Genomic DNA, 19,284 nt, shown 5'->3' with positions numbered 1-19,284 from the left:
TTGACCCTTGGTAACAGGGGAAGCATGTAACCCAGTCCCGACCAATCACAGTTTCCCATTCCCCTGGCCACTGTGATTGGTGCAGGGATGGGCACGGGACCTGAACAGGACCAATGGAGTCCTTCCCTGAGAATGAAGAATGTTCCCTCCTGAGTCTCAGACCGTGCGAGGAGCGATTCCGGAAGGTCGCTCGTGGCCACTGGACTCTTCTGCAGACCAGGAGATCGGGATCTGGAATGGGGCTTGGAGTTGAGCTCATGCAGCAAGCTAGGGGCAGGGTGAGTTTAGGAGAAGAATCAGCCAGGCTCCTGGCCGGCTGGGAGGGGCTCCGGCAGTCCCAGCAGCGTGGGCGAGGAGAAGGGAGTGGAGCAGCCACTCTGGGCGACCCAGTGACCTTGAACATTTGAGCCCCGTGAAATCGGGGCAGCTGGATGAGGAGTGCAGAGGCAGCTGGGGCTGCGCACAGAGCACGGGGAGGGACTGCCCCCGCTGGGTCCTCAGAGAGAGGCCGCTTTCTGCTTTAAAATGCAGGCAGAGGCCAATTAAACCAAAGTACCGAGGTGCCTCCCGGCAGAGATGGCCGCAGGAAGGGGGTTAAACAAGGGCACAGCTGACTGGCCAGCTTGGGACAGGAAGTGGGGCCCAGCTGAGGCCAGGCCAGGGAGGAAATGCAGGACTCTCTCCCTCAACCCTCAAACTGACCTTTTCAGATCACCCAAATCTTCTTCCTTTTTTTCCTAATATGTCTGAGCGCCAAGCAGCCCTGTGATTTGTGGTCGTGGTTTCTGTGTCTCAGGACAGCTGCCGGGGGAGGAACTATGTTTTGCTCACTGTACAGATGAGGAAACTGAGGGTCACAGTGGTGATGCAGCTGCTGATAACTGACAGGGCTGAGGCTGAAATCAGGCCCTTCTGACCCCCAGGCCAGGGCTCTTTCTGTCTTTTTTATTTTTCTTTTAGAGACAGGATCTCACTCTGTCGCACAGGCTGGAGTCCAGTGGTGCGATCACTGCTCACTGCAGCCTCTACCTCTCAGGCTCAAGTGATCCTCCCACCTCAGCCTCCCAAGTAGCTGGGACTACAGGCATGCACCAGCACACCTGGCTAATTTTTTTAACGTTTTTGTAGTGATAGGGTCTCACTATGTTGCCCAGGCTGGTCTCAAACTCCTGGGCTCAAGTGATCCTCCCACCTCTGCCTCCCAAAGTGCTGGGAATGCCAGATGTGAGTGCCGTGCTGGGCCTTTCCAGAGCTCTTTCCTTGACAGCTCTGTGGCTCCCACTGACAGGGCTCTGCCAGGGAGCTGAGGAGCTGCCTCTCTGTCCCTTCGCCCTATGCTGGGGTGACTCACAGATGCCCTGGTCTCGTGGTGGCCTGACTATGGCCTCCCCACTCTCTGCTCCCATCTCCTCTCTCACAGAGCCCAGCTGTGAGTGGATATCTGTCCACCATGTATAGCTGGTGACCACACACACACACACACACACCACAGTCTGTCCTGGAGAAACTTCAGAAGGAAGGGACATCACAGCTTTGAGCCTCTGCTCCTGGAACTGCTATTTGGGCCAAGTCCCTTCTGACTTTCTGGCCCATCCAGGGCATTTTGCTGGATAGTTTGGAGCCGTAGCTGAGGGAAGGGCTGTCCTCTCTGATTCCAGCACTTCCCAGTGCTTCCTCCAGGTGTGAGGGTCACAGGTACAGCTTCAGGGAGGGGCTGGAGCCCACCAAGCCCTGTGGTGTCTGCAGCGGGGGGATGGCAGTGGCTGTCCCTGTTGAAGGCAGATATGCCTGGGCTCAAGCCTTGCCCTGCCTTCCCCCCGGTACACTCAGTTGTGTGACCCTGTCAAGTCGCGTAACCTCTGAGAGCCTCAGTTTCCCCATCTGTGAAGTGGAGATAATGATGCCCTTAGGACTGCTGAGTGACTGGTGGACCGTTGCCTGTAGGCTGTTATACCAACAGGCACCGCTGTCCCCAAAGCTGCCACCCAGCGAGCCCAGCGCCACCCCACTCTCATGCCCCAGTCCAGCAGCCCTGAAAGGCTGGGGGTGGGGTCAGGCAGAAAATGGAGCAGCCCGGCCAGCAGGGTGGGGACCGGAAAAAGAAGGGGGTGGCTTCAGGAAAGGCGTGGCCGGAACCCCCAGAGCCAGCAGCTGGAAGGAAGGAGTCGCCAGGTGGGTCCCGCCCTCGGCAGGCTGCGCCGGGAGGCATGAGGCCAGGGTGCTTGGCTGGGCCATTCCTACCTCCGGAGACCCTGGGATGTCCTTCGGGATGCAGGGCCAAGCATTGTCCCTGATTACAAGAGGTGCTTGCTGGTGGCTTTCACGTGGTTCATTGTATGCTGGGGCCTTGGGAACTGACTTCAGCGCTCCTGGATCAGTGGGGTCTCAGATCACGGCCCTCCATCTGCCATGTCCCTGAGCTTGGTGCCGGTGCGGGCTGCAGACCAGGGGTGTGGCGGGAAGGGAGGAGGGCTGAGCTCTCCCGGCTGCAGTCACTCATTCAGCCTGCGTCAGCGTGTGCCCCTGGATGTCTGGCCCTGGGCTAGGCCCTGAGGAGAGGGCGATAGAAACTCTGTGTGACCCCTGCCTTCCAGGAGCTCTGGCGGGGTCTGGCCAGGAGCAGCCACATGCACAATGATTCTGCAGGTGCCCCAAGAGCAGCACGTGACCCGGCCATGGGGAGATGGGGAAACTTCCCAGAGGAGGTGGAGGTTGAGACCTGAAGGACCAGGAGTCGGCCAGGCTGAGGTGGTAGAGAGAGAAGAGAAGGCACTCCAGGCCAAGGGGCAGCACGTGCAAAGGCCCTGAGGCCAGAGAATCCGTAGGACAAACAAATAAGCAACCAAAAATGGGGATGAGGGAGAGGAGTCAGGCTTCGGGGCCATTCTGAGTGCCTTTAAAGGGCTGGATATGAAATGTGGCACATCAGGGCACTGCCGAGGGTCACATGGCTAATAGGAGTGGGTTAGGACTCAAACCCAGGTCTGAGTCCCTTTGATCCGTGAAGTCATGCACCACACAGAGTCTTTCTCAGGCCAAGGGTGTAGCCCTGTCCCAGGGGATCTGACAGACCAACCAGAAACCGAGCCACAACTTAGAACTTGACCTTTGGAAACAGACAGCAGGCACTGGCCAAGGGCGTCATGGAGAAGGTGACCTTAGGCTGAGCCTGGAGGGACAGGTGAGTTTAGGTTCCCAGTGGGTGAAAGGAAGAGAGGACACAGCAGAGTCCTCCAAAAAAAGATGGGCCTCCAGGCCACCTCCCGTCTGCACTCCCGGCCCCCACCTCCCCCTCTGCACCCCTGGCCACCTTCCCATCTGCAGCCCCCACCTCCCTCTCTGCACCCCCTGACCACCTTCCCATCTGCACACTTTCCTCCCTCTACCAGCCAGTTTCCTCCCCTCCTCCAGCCTCAGTCTCCCCATCACAAGGGGAAAGGAGGAGACCCAGGCAAAAAGGGCCAGGACAACTTGGGGACTCTCAGGAGGGCTCTGGGTTATCTCCTTCCCAAGGAGAGGGGAGGGGGCAGGGGGCCTAGAGTCAAGGCCCCCAGCCTAGTCCCCTGCACTTCCCTCCTGCCAGGACTCTGAACAATGACTCTGGAAAGTGGGGTTACTAAGACCCTCCAGGGGCATGGGTAAGGTGCCAAGGAGTGCCTGGTACACAGTAGGTATTCAATAAATGCTCCTGGGCCCTCTGGGTGCTACCCATTCCCCCTGACAAGAAGCAGCTACTGATCCACAATGAGTGGGGCAAAGTCCTCTTGTAGGCCCCAAATGTCCGTGCTAAAGGGTCCCCACCTGAAAACAAGTCCTACCCCTCTCAGTATGCAGGTGTGCACACACAGAAACATGCTCACACTCACACATACGTGTACACACAGAAACGTGCAAACACGTGTACACACAGAAATGCATACACACAAAAACACATGCACACACAGAAATGTGCACGCTTAGACACACGTGTGCACAGACGGCGTCGAAAATCCCATCCCCCTGGCCAGGCACAGTGGCTCACACCTGTAATCCTAGCACTTTGGGAGGCCGAGGCGGGCAGATTGCCTCAGCTCAGGAGTTCAAGACCAGCCTGGACAACATGGCAAAACCCTGTCTCTACTAAAATACAAAAGTTAGCTCGGTGTGGTGGTGGGCACCTGTAATCCCAGCTACTGGGGAGGCTAAGGCAAGAGAATGGCTTGAACCTGAGAGGCGGAGGTTGCAGTGAGCGGAGATAGCGCCACTGCACTCCAGCCTGGGTGACAGAGCGAAACTCCATCTCATTTAAAAAAAAAAAAAAAAAAAAAAAAAAATCCCATCCCCCTATCTCTCCGTCCGTGAACTCACCCCTGCATCCCCAAGGCTCTGCCCGGCTCTGTGTCCTGTAAATAGCCATTCAAGGTTCCAGAGCTCCAAGCCCCAGGACCAAGGGGAGATCCCACAGCTGAGCACTTCATGTCCCTTCCTGTCTGACTCCTCAGTGCTCTTAGTCACTAGTGGCTAGAAGTTGGGGTGGGCCTCATGGCTAACTAGGGATGGAATAAGTGGTACCCAGGCTTTGGAGAGGCAGCGCCAAGTTCAAATTCAATTACTCATCAGGGTTACTGTGTCCCGTGTTTTTTTTTTTTTTTTTTTTTTAAGATGGAGTCTCGCTCTGTCGCCCCAGGCTGGAGTGCAGTGGCACGATCTTGGCTCACTGCAACCTCCGCCTCCCAGGTTCAAGCGATTCTCAGCCTCCCACGTAGCTGGGATTACAGGCGTGCACCATCATGCCCAACTAATTTTTGTATTTTTAGTAGAAATGGGATTTCACCATGTTGACCAGGATGGTCTCAATCTCTTGACCTCGTGATCCGCCTGCCTCAGCCTCCCAAAGTGCTGGGATTACAGGCGTGAGCCACCACGCCAGGCCTCACTCTATTCCATTATTTAGGTTGAGCACTGCAAGGAATCCATGACAAAGGGGATGCTGTTCACATTGTGGATATCTTTATAATCTAGAAAACATGTTTGTGTTTTTATGACAGCTTTATTGACTTGAAAGATGGACTACTTATCCATCAATTATATCAATTTTCTGTCAGATGGCAGCAAAGGCGCTTGTTCTAACAAAATCAGTGTCATGCAATTGTCTTAATTACTCCCAGTGGTTGTTATTAAAACTGGGGGTTCCTATTATTTTGTTTAATTTATATATAATGACATCATATCTGGTATACTATTGTTAAGAAATTAATCATAGGAGGCCGGGTGCGGTGGCTCACGCCTGTAATCCCAGCACTCTGGGAGGCCGAGGTGGGCGGATCACAAGGTCAGGAGATCGAGACCATCCTGGCTAACATGGTGAAACCCCGTCTCTACTAAAAATATAAAAAATTGGCTGGGCGTTGTGGCAGGCACCTGCAGTCCCAGCTACTCGGGAGGCTGAGGCAGGAGAATGGCGTGAACCCGGGAGGCAGAGCTTGCAGTGAGCCGAGATTGCGCCACTGTACTCAAGCCTGGGCGACAGAGCAAGACTCCATCTAAAAAAAAAAAAAACAGAAATTAATCATAGGATAACTTTATTTATTTATTTGACACGGAGTCTGCTCTGTCACCCAGGCTGGAGTGTGGTGGCGTGATCTCCGCTCACTGCAATCTCTACCTCCTGGGTTCAAGCAATTCTTCTGCCTCAGCCTCCTGAGTATCTGGGACTACAGGCATGCACCCCTACGCCTGACTAATTTGTTTGTATTTTTAGTAGAGATGGGGTTTTGCCATGTGGCCAGCCTGGTCTCAAACTCCTGACCTTAGGTGATCCACCTGCCTCGGCCTCCCAAAGTGCTGGGATTACAGGTCTGAGCCACCTGGCCAGATGAATCATAGGATAACTTTAAAATATTAGTTGGAGAAAGAGGTGGCCTCTCAGCCTGTTTCCACATGTGTCTTCTGGGCCTAATGGCTCACCCCTTTTGAGTTGTGCCAAGGATACGGGAAAATCTATGTGAAGTTTGTGATGGCAGGTAGGTGCTTAGCCAGTGGCACCTCTGACATGCAGCTCTCCTGGAAACTTGCTCTGCAAAGTGGCAAAGTGGAGGGAGCTCACTGCCTCAGTTTACCCACCCGAGAAGAGAGGCAAATCTCCCCAAGATCGGAGGAGGCTCGGTCATCACAGAGTCCTGTTCCTGCCTGGGCTGAAATTCTCACCCCTGAGCTTCTCCAAATTTGGTGCTGCCCAGAGTCCTGACCCTGTTTCCTGTCCCCCCACATCCCGCCCCTCCGTCCTGGCTGCCAGAGGGGCTGCACTGATGGGTCCCTCCCTAGAGCCCCCAGAAACTGCCCAGAGAGGAAATCCTCTTCCTCCTCTTACAGGCTGGAAGCTACAGAATGTTTCTTTTGGAATTTTTTGGCTTCCACATTGCAGAATGTTCTAGCCTCGTCAGCCACAGGCCCCCCTTCCCTCTCGGCTGGCAATTCTTTGGCCAAAAGCGAGCTTGGGCCTCACCTCTCCTCTCCCTCCTCCTCCTTCTCTGAAGTTTGTTGTGAACAAAACAAGACATGCCAAGGAGCTCAGAAGATCTGACCGGAAATTAATGAAACTCACCCAACAGCTGATGCTTTCCAAAAATAGAGAGGCCGGGAAAGCAGAGCAGGACAGCTTGTGGCACCCCCAAAATGACAAAAAGAGGGAGGGCAGGGGAGAATCCGAAGGGCTGTTTTGGGCCCTGCCTTGGCCTGGAAGAGAAAAACCTAGCTCTTTCCTCATCTAGCTCCGAACCCTCCTTTCTTGGCAGCAGAATAATTAAATATTCATGCCTTTTCTCCTTCCCCTAAGAAAGCGATAAGTCAGATTTCTGCACACACACACAGAAAAAGCGACCCAAGGTGAGGGGTTGGAGCCAAATTTCAGTTGGAGACAAAGCCTTCACTTCAATTTACGAATGAAAACACCCTTCACCTTTGCCGCTGTGAATTTCCTAGATACACATGGTCAAGACAATCTGAGAATTATGAGGCTCCAGGACCAATTAGGGCTGTTTGTGTTGACGTCAAGTCTGGGGGAATTTTTTTTTCTTCCCTTTGCAAGTATTTATGATACTGACAGATGCAGCAGGGAAAAAAATCCATGAACAGGAATGAGCCTCATTGGGCCACGTGGGTAAGGACTCAATGTGAAAAGCAGTCCCCGATATGGTTTAAACCACCAGATCTGTGCCCCTGCTCTGCCGGCATGAAGACAGGGAAAGAGAGCAATTATTGTGCATCTACTGTGTGCCAACATGCTCCCAGGCATGTTATGAAGACTGCATGGTTGGTTTGTCCGGTTTTTTTGTTTTTTGCTTTTTTTGAGACAGAGTCTTGCTCTGTGGCCCAGACTGGAGTGCAGTGGCGCCATCTCAGCTCACTGCAACCTCTGCCTCCCGGGTTCAAGCAATTCTCCTGCCTCAGCCTCCTGAGCAGCTGGGATTACAGGCGTGCACCACCACACCCAGCTAATTTTTGTATTTTTAGTAGAGACGGGGTTTCACCATGTTGGCCAGGTTGGTCTAGAATTCCTGACCTCAAGTGATCCGCCTGCCTCAGCCTCCCAAAGTGTTGGGATTACAGGCATGAGCCACGGCGCCCGGCCAAGTGCATGGTTTAATCCCAACAACAGACCCAAGGAGAAAGAGCTCATCCCATTCTGTGGGTGAGGAAATGGAGCAGCGGAGTCATTTTCTCAAAGGCCAGGGATGGGATTTCGATCCTGGCTCATTTCGCTTTTTTTTTTTTTTGAGATGCAGTTTCCCTCTTCTTGCCCAGGCTGGAGTGCAATGGTGCAATCTCAGCTCACTGCAGCTTCTGCCTCCCGGGTTCAAGGATTCCCCTGCCTCAGCCTTCCAAGCAGCTGGGATTACAAGTGCAAGCCACCATGCCCAGCTAATTTTCTATATTTTTAGTAGAGACGGGGTTTCACCATGTGGGCCAGTCTGGTCTCGAACTCCTGGCCTCAAGTGATCCGCCTGCCTCGGCCTCCCAAAGTGCTAGGATTACAGGTGTGAGCCACCGCGCCCGGCTTCGTTTAGCTTTGAAGACGGTCCCACTGTTTGCAATTCTATGCCATTTAGGTTCTCCCCGTGCAAAGCGCAGTAAAGTTTGCCGTCCTGTGGGAGGCTAAGGTTGCAGCCTTTAGGCTCTGCCTGGAGTCATATCTCTCCTGCACACCAGGAAAATCAGACAAGAACCTGGAGGGGCTGAAGGGCCTGGATCAGGCCCAGTGTCTGAAGGGACTTAACAAGGAGTAAAGTATCTGTCCTGCTGTCCCTTACAAAACCACCTGGAGAGGGACAGGGCTGGTGGTGTGGTTTAAAGCAGCCCACACTTTCACTCAAACATACATCAATTCGGCACCTGCTGTAGGCAAGGGGACAGTGCGGTGGTAAAGTGCAGCCTCTTCAATGCTGGCCCTGAATAAGGGGTCGCTCCCTCTGGACCTCAGTGTCCACATCTGAAAAATGGGGACAAGGAGAGAGGCCCCTGGCAAGGTTGTTGTGGGCACTGAGATGAAGCAGCAGAGGTCCCCTGTGGGCTTCTGCAGCCAGAGGCCTGGGTTCAAATCCTGCCTCTGGGTGGCTGTGGTGGCTCGTGCCTGGAATCCCAGCTTTGAGAGGCTGAGGCAGGAGGATCACTTGAGGCTAGGAGTTTAAGACCAGCCTGGGCAGCACAGCGAGACCTCATAGCGCTAATTTATTATTATTATTATTTTTTAATTAGCAGGGTGTGGTGGCCCACACCTGTAGTCCCAGCTACTCTGAAATCTGAGGCGGAAGGATCACTTGAGTCCAGGAGGTCAAGGCTGCAGTGAGCTGTGACTGTGCCACTGAACTCCAGCCTGCATGACAGAGAGAGACCTTGTCTCGAAAAACAAAATCCTGCCTGTACCTCCTGTGTGACTTCAGGCCTGCAACTCACCTCTCAGTGTCTCCGCTTCCTCACCTGGAAAATGCAATGGTAACAGTGGCTACCTCACACTATTGTTGTGAGGGGTAAAGGCATTTGTTTGTAATTTGTTAAACAGGGAAGGTCGTGGTAGCTCATGCCTGTAATCCCAGCACTTTGGGAGGCCAAGGCGGGTGGATCATGAGGTCAGAAGTTCAAGACCAGCCTGACTAACATAGTGAAACCCGGTTTCTACTAAAAATACAAAAATTAGCCGGATATGGTGGTGCACGCCTGTAGTTCCAGCTACCTGGGAGGCTGAGGCAGGAGAATCGTTTGAACCCGGGAGGCGGAGGTTGTGGTGAGCCGAGATTGTGCCTCTGCACTCCAGCCTGGGCAACAGAGTGAGATTCTGTCTCAAAAAAAAAAAATTTTTTTTTTTACTAAACAGTACATATATATTTTATGTAGTTTTTTGTAGACCTGTTCATAAGAATTGTCTGTGGTGGTGGAGAAGGGGCATTGCACACGAAACCCCTTGGCACAGTCCAGGCACACAGGCAGTCATCAGGAAATGTGCTGCTATTTTTATCCTGTAGATCAGTGGGAGCCATGGAGAGTCTTGGAGTGAGAGAGTCACATTGAGCAAAGTTCTATTTTAAGCATTTTAGAAGTGAAGATTTATGAGCCGAGACCACCAGTGCATGAGCTACCTTTGTGTGTGTGAGGAAAAGATGTCCCCCGCTGGGCAGACAGAGCCTTATGCCAGGGCACATGGCTTGTTGGATGGAGCCAAGCACCCTTGCAGAGTGAACAACCTGCCCAACAGTACCTGGCAGCTTTGGCCAAGAGGACATAATGGAGTGGTTGTTAATTAGAGCCTCTGCCACTGAATCTCTTTGCCTCTCTTGCTCAGTGTCCCCTCCCCCGCTCCCTACCCCACCAACCCCCCTGCATAGAGCGGGCAGCCCTGAGCCTGGAAGCCCACGCAGCAGATGGAAAGGCTTCCAGCTGGCCCCGGGCATGTGTGTGGGTGGGTGGAAGGGGGTGGGTGGAACAATTTCCTGTGCCCCGATCCCAGCTAGCTCACTCTCTGACCACATTTTTCCACCTCGCTTTTTTCCTTATAATTCGCTCACACATCTTACAATCTGGACTGTTTTTTGTGAATGGAATGTAACCTGAGAGCTGGGGAGGAAAGTCCCGGTGAGGCCGTACAGATGGAGAAGGCGCCCCTCTCCGTGTGAAAGGGGAGCCGGGGCAGGCACTGCGGGCTCCCTGGTGGCCAGGGCAGCCAGCAAGACGGACAGGGCCAGGTGGGGAAGGTCACGGCGCCCGCAAGGCCGAAGAAACAGGAGAGGCTGGGACTCCCCCAACCCCCTGCCGCCTGGCAGCTCCCCCAGCCGTGTTTTCTGAGCAGGACCACCCAGGGAGAATCTGACCCCTGCTGGGGTGGGGCACTGGGGGCTGTGGCCTCTTCTAGGAGGAGTCTGGTGACTTCCAGCGGCAGATCTGAAGTCTGTGGGCAGCACCCGGTACTAAGTAGCCCTCGTTCACTAATTCATTCGTTCATTAATTTGTTCAAAAATATTTATTGAGTGCCATGTGCCAGGCACGGCGCCAGGCACCAGGAACTGCTGTGAACGAGACAGCTGAGGCCCTGCCCTCGTGGATGGTGGGGAAAAGTAACCAGCACATGCCTCTGAACGCTGATAGGCATTAGGGGTTCCTCCGTGAGCTAAGCGCTTTGCGTGTGTTATGTCATTTCATCCCCAAGCAATTCTAGAAGTGATGTTGTCACTGCCCATTGAACACACGAGAAAAATCAAGGCCCAGACAGATTCAACAACTTGCCGACGAACAGAGTCAGGAAGGCTGGACCCAGGTCCTGTTGACCCCTGTCCTGAGAGTCTCACCACTGTGCCTCCCACAGCTGAGCCCCAGCTTCGGGCGGGTCCCAGGCTCCCGGGACTCCCTGGGCATGGCAGGTCTGGCGTGAGAGGCTTCCTGGCCCTTCCCAGTGGCGAGGCAGGCCTTGCTTTGCTGAAGAACTGGGGCCTGCCAGGGTTGCCCCCGATGCAGCCAGGGAAAGAGTGTGAATTTGAGGGACTCACAAAGCTTCCCAAGGCTCCTGCCTTCAGAAGCTGAGGTTAATGACTCCCTCACCAAAGAGTGAGTGTGAGGATGAAACAAGGTTCAGTTTAGGCAAAGTGCTAAGCAAGCTTTCTGGCATATGGTAGGAGTTCGATAAATGCTGCTTGCACAGTGAACAAACTGCCCAACAGTACCTGGCAGTACACTTCCCAGTGTCTTTCATTAAAAGGTGCTACAATTGAGCTGAGAGGTCCAGCAGGGGTTGGCGTTGAGGCTAGATAGATTTGGGTGGCGCTGAGAACTCTGGAGAGAAGCCAAAAGGTGGCTGTTCCAGACCCTGCCTGCCGCTTCCAACACGCCTGTCCTTTCTGAGCACTCACTGTGCTCACAGTGTGCCAGCACTTTCCCTGGGCAGCCCAGAGCCACAGAAATAGCCCTCAGCAAGAAGACCTTGAAGATGGGGCTACGGTCATTGCCTTCAAAAGGCTGGAAAGCTTCAAAGGAATTAATACGGTATATGCTTTCCTGGATTTGTGAGCTGAGAGAGCCCACATAGACTGAAAGCTCCCGGCCCTGGCCCTTCTGTCTGCTGAAAAAAAATGGAGCTATAATCCATATGCCATAAAATTAACAATTTTAAAGTGTGCAATTCAGAGGTTTTTCATATATTCACAAGGGTGCTCGAGTATCACCACTGTCTACTTCCAGAACATTTTCATCACCCCAAAAGATCCCATGCACTTAACAGTCACCCCATCCCCTCTCCCCCTGCCCCCCAGCCTCAGGCAACCATGCATCCACTTTATATCTCTATGAATGTTCTTGTTCTGAACAGTTCTTGTAAATGGAAACCTATGCCCTGCAGGTCTTCTGTGAACTGCTTCTTTCACTTAGCATGTTTTCACGATTCATCCGCACTATAACATGACTCAGCACTTCATTCCTTTTCGTGGCTGAATAATATTCCACTGTGTGGACGTACCACACCTTATCTCTTCATCAATGGATGGACATCTGGTGGTTTCCACTGGTTGGCTACTTAAGAATATTGCTGTTATAAACATTTGTGGACAGGTTTTGGTGTGAACAGATGCTCTCATTCGTCTTAGGTATAAGCCTAGGAGTGGAATTGCTGGGCTGCGTGCTAACTCTGTGTTTAAACCTTTTGAGGAGCTGCCAGACCGTTTCCACTGCAGCTGCACCACTGTCATCCCCACCTGCCACAAAGATGGGTTCCAATTTCTCTGTATCCTCACCCACACTTGTTGTCGTCAGTCTGTATGACCCCAGCTGCTGCACTGGTGGGAGTGAAGCAGCTTCTCAGTGCCATGTGGCCCTTCACTGGCATGTGCTTGTCTAACTGGGGGCTCTCATGAGACTGGCTCCAGCAGGGCAGGGCCCACGCATGCCTGTCACCTGTCACGTCCACCACTGGGCCTTCAGAGCCAAGCCCGGAGCAATTGCTCCATAAAAATGCGTTAAATGAGTGAGTAGCTCAAGAACTCCTAAAGTGCAAGCGCAGCCATCCTGACTGCATGTGGCTCTGAGTTCCAAGGATTTTTTATCATTTAGAGAAGTCCAAGAAACCATCACAAAATTGCCATCGTGTGGAAATTTCCCAGGGCCCATCTGATGACCTGTCCTCACTTCAGGCCCCCTGGGGCTGGACGTCGTCATCACAGCGGGCCCCCCTGGGGGGGACTTGGTCCCGAGGTGGGGCGGGCAGCGGGGGAGTGACCGTGCCAGGCCCACGGGAAGCAGTGTCTCCTTCCTGGACGGCACCCCGGCCTGGCTGGGGCCCAGTCCCCGCGCCTTGGCCTCTGAGGTGGTCGTCCCGGCCAAATGCACGGACACGTCACCTCATTGGAGCGGATGTGCCCGGGCCGCTCTGGAGAGAGGAAGCGCCCAGCTCAGCACTTATTGTTTAAAGAAGGTTTCACAAAGCCCCGAGGCCGAGGCTGTGAGTCGTTCCTGTGGAATCGGGGAGCCTGCAGGGAGGTCACCCTTTGTTCCCTCTGACAGAGGCGGCTTGGCTGGTGGCTGTGGTCTCAGCAGAACCCTGAAGTCAGCAGAGCTTGTATCAGGGACCTTCCCACTTTCCTTGCTCACACTCCCGGCCTTCCCTCCCTGCGGGAAGGCTCCCATCCCAGGCCCAGCCGGTGTCTCCTCTCCAGGACAGGCGCGGAGGAGGAGGCAGAGTAAAACCAGCCACCGCTCAGTGAGCACGTGCTACGCCCCAGGCCCCGGTGAGGCACCGCATTATTCTCTATTCCACTGGGGAGAGGAGGGGGGCTCTATTCCTATTTTACAGATGAGGAAACTGAGGCCCACAGCAAGTCAGAACCAGTCCACAATTCACAGCTGGTAGGTGGCGGAGCTGGGATTGGAACCAAGCAGTTTGGCTGTGGCAGTCCCTAAAATGGGGGCTGGGGGTCGGTGATGACTTGGGCCAGAGTTATCGGAAGCTCAAGACAGAGGAGGAAAATAAGGGCTCGGAGGCTGGGCACAGTGACTCACGCCTGTAATCCCAGCACTTTGGGAGACCCAGGTGGGCAGATCACTTGAGGTCAGGAGTTCCAGACCAGCCTGGCCAGCATGGTGAAACCCCATCTCTACTAAAAATACAGAAAAATTAGCTGGGTGTGGTGGCGCATGCCTGTAATAGCAGCTACTTGAGAGGCTGAGGCGGGAGAACCGCTTAAACCCAGGTGGTGGAGGTTGCAGTGAGCTGAGATCGTGCTACTGCACTCCAGCCTGGGTGACAGAGCGAGACTGTACCTCAAATTTTTAAAAAAGTGGGGATGGTGGGGAGGGCTCTGAATATTTAATTAATTAATTAATTTTAATTTCAATAGGTTTTTGAGGAATAGGTAGTGTTTGGTTACATGAATACGCTCTTTAGTGGTGACTTCTGAGATTTTGGTGCATAGTGTTTAGAATATAAGAGGTGAGGGCAGCTGGCCTTGCTTCTAAGGTTGTTTTTTTTTTAAATTGTTATTTTTTACCACTTCAGGAGCTTCTAACCTTATGCCTTTTGTCCTTTTATTAAAAAAAAAATTGGTGTGACAGTATTCTTTCTTTGAATAAAATGGTATGATAAGGAGACTTCACTTTTTGGAGTTTTAAATAAATGTTTCTTGGTACTGATTTTTTTTTTTTTTTTTTTTTTTTGAGATAGAGTCTTGCTCTGTCGCCCAGGCTGGAGTGCAGTGGCATGATCTCGGCTCACTGCAAGCTCCACCTCCTGGTTCAAGCGATTGTCCCGCCTCAGCCTCCCGAGTAGTTGGGATTACAGGCACCCACCACCACGCCCAACTAATTTTTGTATTTTTAGTAGACATGGGTTTCACTATGTTGTCCAGATTGGTCTCGAACTCCTGACCTCAAGTGACCCACCTGCCTTGGCCTTCCAAAGTGCCGGGATTTCAGGAATGAGCCACCATGCCCGGCCTTTTTTTTTTTTTTTTTTTTTTTTCAGAGGCAGGGTCTTACTCTGTGGCTCAGGCTGGAATGCAGTGGCACCATTTTGGCTCACTGCAACCTCTGCCTCTTGGGTTCAAGTGATTCTCCTGCCTTAGCCTCTCAAGTAGTTGGGATTACAGGCACCCACTACCACACCTGGCTAATTTTTGTGGCGCAATCTTGGCTCACTACAGCCTCCACCTTCTGGGATCTCAAGTGATCCTCCCATCTCAGCTTCCCAAGTAGCTGGGACTATAGGCGTGCACCACCATACCCAGCTAATTTTTTTTAACTGTTTTGTAGAGACAGGGTCTGTTTTGTTCTGCAGGCTGTTCTCAAACTCCTAGACCCAAGCAATCCTCCTCCCTCAGCCTTCCAAAGTGCTGGGATCACAAGTGTGAGCGACCACATCCAGCCTTAAGCAAGGACATTTTAAAAAAAAAGTAACACAACCACTACCATTTTGTACCCAACAAGACACACAAGACTACCACAAATGAAGGAATACAAATCCCTAAATTCTTTTTTTTTGAGATATAGTCTCACTCTGTCACCCAGGCTGGAGTGCGATGGTACAATCTCAGTTCACTGCAACCTCCGCCTCCCGGGTTCAAGTGATCCTCCCGAGTAGCTGGGATTACAAGCACCTGCCATCATGCCTGGCTAAATTTTTTTTTTTGTTTTTTTTTGTAGAGATGGGGTTTCACTATGTTGGCCAGGCTGGTCTCGAACTCCTGACCTCAGGTGATCTGCCTGCCTCGGCCTCCCAAAATACTGGGATTATAGGCATGAGCCACCGTGCCCAGCCCCTAAATTGTTTTAAAAATTTAAAACAATTTAAATTTTTGTCACTTTGTCGCTTTGTCAGTTCGCATTTTCCATGTTCTTCCCAGTTCACTGTGGACAGTGGCAGTGCCAGCCTGGCTCACTTTGCTGTGCGGCTGGCTTTCAGGGGTCCCTGGGCTGGGTGCCTCGGAGGTAGCATCCTACCAACAGATGCTTGTCGCTGGCTTCCTGCTGGCTGGGGAAGGCCCTGGCAATTTCATACTACAGAGGAAACAGGTCCCAAACTGTTGGCCAAAAAGTCCTCATGAAAACCCTTCCACCATCCCAAAGACGCCCGAGTACTAGGGAGGACTGGCTGACCCGCACACGGCCTTCCACCATTGGAAATTTCACTTCTCCCATGCCTAAGGGCTCCTTTACATCTCCCCACGCTCCTAGATAGAGTGTCCTTTGAGCAAACACATGACTATTTTGTTCACTGACGAGGCCCCAAAGCCTGTGAGATTGCTGGGCACAGAGTGGGCGCTTAATACATATTCATTCAGTAACTGACCGAGCCCAGACACGTGTGCCCTAGTGCAATACCACCCAGCCACTAAAACGAGCTTGATCACTGTGCAGACGCCAACACCCATCAAATCCAGAGGGTGGGCCACAAACTGCATGCTCTTCTTTTTTTCATTGTTCTATGTATTTGAAATCTTTTTAAATAAAAAGATAGAAAAATAACAAATATTGGCCGGGCACAGTGGCTCACGCCTGTAATCCCAGCACTTTGGGAGGCCAAGGTGGGCGGATCATGAGGTCAGGAGATGGAGACCATCCTGGCTAACACGGTGAAACCCCGACTCTACTAAAAATACAAAAAATTAGCCAGGCGTGGTGGCGGGCGCCTGTAGTCCCAGCTACTCGGGAGGCCGAGGCAGGAGAATGGCATGAGCCTGGGAGGCGGAGCTTGCAGTGAGCCGAGATCACGCCACTGCACTCCAGCCTGGGCGACAGAACGAGACTCCATTTCAAAAAAAAAAAAAGAAAAAGAAAAAAGAAAAATAACAACTATTATATTAGCATATGAGAATGCCTGTGATGTCAAAATTACGAAATCATATCAATTATTTCCTAAAGACTGTAGAGAAATGCATCCTCTGTTACCCACGGGTATCTCTGGATGTGGGATTATGCACTTTTCCTCCTGTACTTTCTACCTGTATTTCTGGATTTACTACATAATCAGGGAGGGAAAGGCTGGGCACGGTGGCTCACGCCTGTAATCCCAGCACTTTGGGAGGCCGAGGTGGGTGGATCACCTGAGCTCAGGAGTTAGAGGTCAGCCTCGGCAACATGGTGAGACCCTGTCTCTACTGAAAATACAAAAATTAGCTGGGCATGGTGGCACATGCCTGTAATCCCAGCTACTTGGGAGGCTGAGACAGGAGAAACGCTTGAACCCGGGAGGCGGAGGTTGCCGTGAGCCGAGATCATGCTGCTGCACTCCATCCTGGGCAATAGAACAAGACTCCTCTGAAAAAAGAAAATAATAATAATTAGGAGGAAAAACAGCTTTGTAAAAAATGCAACTTCAGGCTTACTTTCACCACCATCCTTCCCTTTATCTCCTGTCCTGGGGAGCTGCAAACTGCTTCTAAATTGCCTTCTCTTTGCCTAGGAGGGGAACAGGCTTTTTTCCTGTTCGGTGGAAATGTTTGTGCTGCCAAGAGTCCAGCAGAGGAGAGACAGGAGAGGAAGACAGCACCTGCATGGTCCCACGTGCGGGGCGTTTTGTGGGGAGCTCCAAGCTGGGAACAGAGGCCTTTCCCTGTTGCTCAGAAGGCTGCATGGAGGTCAGGGTGCAAGATGTTCTGGGATGTGGGATGGGGCCCCAGGGTGTCAGGGCTGGGAGGGCGCTAGGCCTCACTAGGCCCCACTCTCTCATTATACAAATAAGAAAATGAGACCAGGCTCGGTGGCTTAGTCCTGTAATCCCAGCACTTTGGGAGACCGAGGCGGGCAGATGGCTTGAGCTCAAGAGTTGGAGACCAGCCTGGACAACATAGCGAAACCCTGTCTCTACCAAAAATACAAAAAATTAGCTGGGTGTGGTGATGTGTGCATGTGGTCCCAGCTACTTGGAAGGCTGAGGTGTGAGGATCGCTTGAACCCAGGAGGCAGAGGTTGCGGTGAGCCAAAATCTCACCACTGCATTCCAGCCCGGGTGACAGAGTGAGACCCTGTCTCAAAAATTAAAAAAAGAAAGAAAATGAGATTCAGAGAGACAAAGTGACCTGCCCAGAGCCACACAGCACACCCGTGGCTAAGGTGGAAGTTGATCCCATGACTCCTGAGCCTCCGCCCAGCCCCTGCCAGGTCCCATTCACCTTTCTCCAGGGCCTCCACCCCAGCCTGTTTCGTAAACCCACATCGCAGTGATGCCAGCCACTTCCTCGCTTCCTTTGTCACCAGCTTTTGACATAATCACTGGGTTTTCCAAAGGGAAACATATTTTGGGGTTTTGTTTGTTTGCTTGCTTGTTTTATGAGACGGAGTCTCGTGCTGTTACCCAGGCTGGAATGCAATGGTGCGATCTCGGCTCACTGCAGCCTCCACCTCCCAGGTTCAAGCGATTCTCCTGCCTCAGCTTCCCGAGTAGCTGGGATTACAGGTGCCTGCCACCATGCCCAGCTAGTCTTTGTATTTTCATTAGAGATGGGGTTTCACCATGATGGCCAGGCTAGTCTCAAACTCCCAACCTCAGGTGATCCGCCCACCTTGGCCTCCCCAAGTGTTGGGATTACAGGCGTGAGCCACCATGCCCAGCCATTTTGGTTTGTCTTTTTTTCTGCTCACTCGAAGAATTCTGAACGCCCTTCCAAATTATTTGGTTGAGACTGGAGGCAGGCAGCGAGGCACACCAAAAACATGACAACAACCCCGGGGACCCTGCAGTCACTGCTGGCCTGGAGGAAGATGGGACACCAGGCCTGTCGCTGGGGCATGGTCAGCTCATGAGCCCGAAGGTCTCAGGAACAAGGGGCGTTGGCCAAGCTCCCCAGCCTGATTGTGGTCCCCTGCAGGAGTGGCTGAGGGAGTCTACACAAACTGCTCCGAGGCTGGGGCTTTAGCAGCTATGAGTGCCGACAGAGCCCCTGAGGAGGTGAATGGCCATCAGCCCAGCCAGAGTGGAGCCCTGCAGCCTGGTCTACCCTGGACATAATCCCTGATTTGTACCTGAGCCTGTACCTGAGATTACATTTCCCAGCCTCCTTTGCAGCTAGGTGTGGTCATGTGACTAAGTTCTAACCAACGGGATGTGAGCACAAAGTGATGTGCATAGCTTCAGTAAAGAAAAGGGCATGACCAGGCGCAGTGGCTCACTCCTGTAATCCCAGCACTTTGGGAGTTTGAAACCAGCCTGGCCAAAATGGTGAAACCCTGTCTCTACTAAAAATACAAAAATTAGCCAGCATGGTAGCACACACCTGTAATCCCAGCTACTAGGGAGACTAAGGCAGGAGAATTGCTTGAGTCCGGTGGGTGGAGGTTGCAGTGAGCCAGGATCACGCCACTGTACTCCAGCCTGGGTGAAAGACTCAGTCTCAAAAAAAAGAAAGGGGCATGGTCTCCTTTGCCCCTCCCTTCTTCTTGCTGGCTAGATGGTAGGTGCAATGGCTGGAGTTCCAGCAGCCATTTTGGACCATGAAGCAATTCCAGGAATAGAAATTGATAGAAGAATGAGATAGGAGAAGCCTGGGTCCCAACATCATGGAGCCTCACAGACGTGAGAAATAAATTCTCATCTTTTTAAAGACATGAGTATTTGGGGTTTTCTCTTACTTGTGGCCAATACTATTCCTGTACTATCTTTTGGTTGGGGAGGGGTTGCAGTCATTTACAGAGAGGTGGTGAGGGGACCTGCTATGGCGAAGGGCTGGGACAAGTCCTGACATGAGGTTGGTAATTCTTTTGCATAATACCAATTGCTGATGGGCATGTGTGAAACCCTTAGCCCAGGGCCCAGCACAGTTTAAGAGCGCAATAAATGTTATT

The 19,284-nt window shown here is 52.4% G+C and overlaps 1 long non-coding RNA gene across 2 annotated transcripts, besides 2 other annotated features; it reads left to right on the top strand.

Annotated features, from left to right (window-relative positions):
* Positions 10,393–10,914: an enhancer, noted in NCBI's record as "H3K4me1 hESC enhancer chr16:85159795-85160316 (GRCh37/hg19 assembly coordinates)". NCBI's record gives its function as "activates a minimal SCP1, AML or CMV promoter by ChIP-STARR-seq in naive H9 embryonic stem cells {active_cell/tissue: H9 hESC(naive)}" and the evidence as "EXISTENCE:reporter gene assay evidence [ECO:0000049][PMID:30033119]".
* Positions 10,915–11,437: an enhancer, noted in NCBI's record as "H3K4me1 hESC enhancer chr16:85159272-85159794 (GRCh37/hg19 assembly coordinates)". NCBI's record gives its function as "activates a minimal SCP1, AML or CMV promoter by ChIP-STARR-seq in naive H9 embryonic stem cells {active_cell/tissue: H9 hESC(naive)}" and the evidence as "EXISTENCE:reporter gene assay evidence [ECO:0000049][PMID:30033119]".
* On the top strand, positions 12,919–19,045 carry LOC105371381 (uncharacterized). Of its 2 annotated transcripts, XR_933837.2 has the most exons (3): positions 12,939–12,952; positions 13,130–13,238; positions 16,907–17,160. It is a non-coding gene; the product is annotated as an uncharacterized LOC105371381 (long non-coding RNA). The 2 variants fall into 2 exon arrangements; XR_007065155.1 differs by having other exon boundaries at positions 12,919–13,238; positions 16,907–19,045.
* The last annotated feature ends 239 nt before the right edge of the window (positions 19,046–19,284 follow it).

This window comes from Homo sapiens, chromosome 16 (assembly GCF_000001405.40).
Source record: "Homo sapiens chromosome 16, GRCh38.p14 Primary Assembly".
NCBI lineage: Eukaryota > Metazoa > Chordata > Mammalia > Primates > Hominidae > Homo > Homo sapiens.
This window is presented reverse-complemented; position numbering and strand designations above follow the sequence as displayed.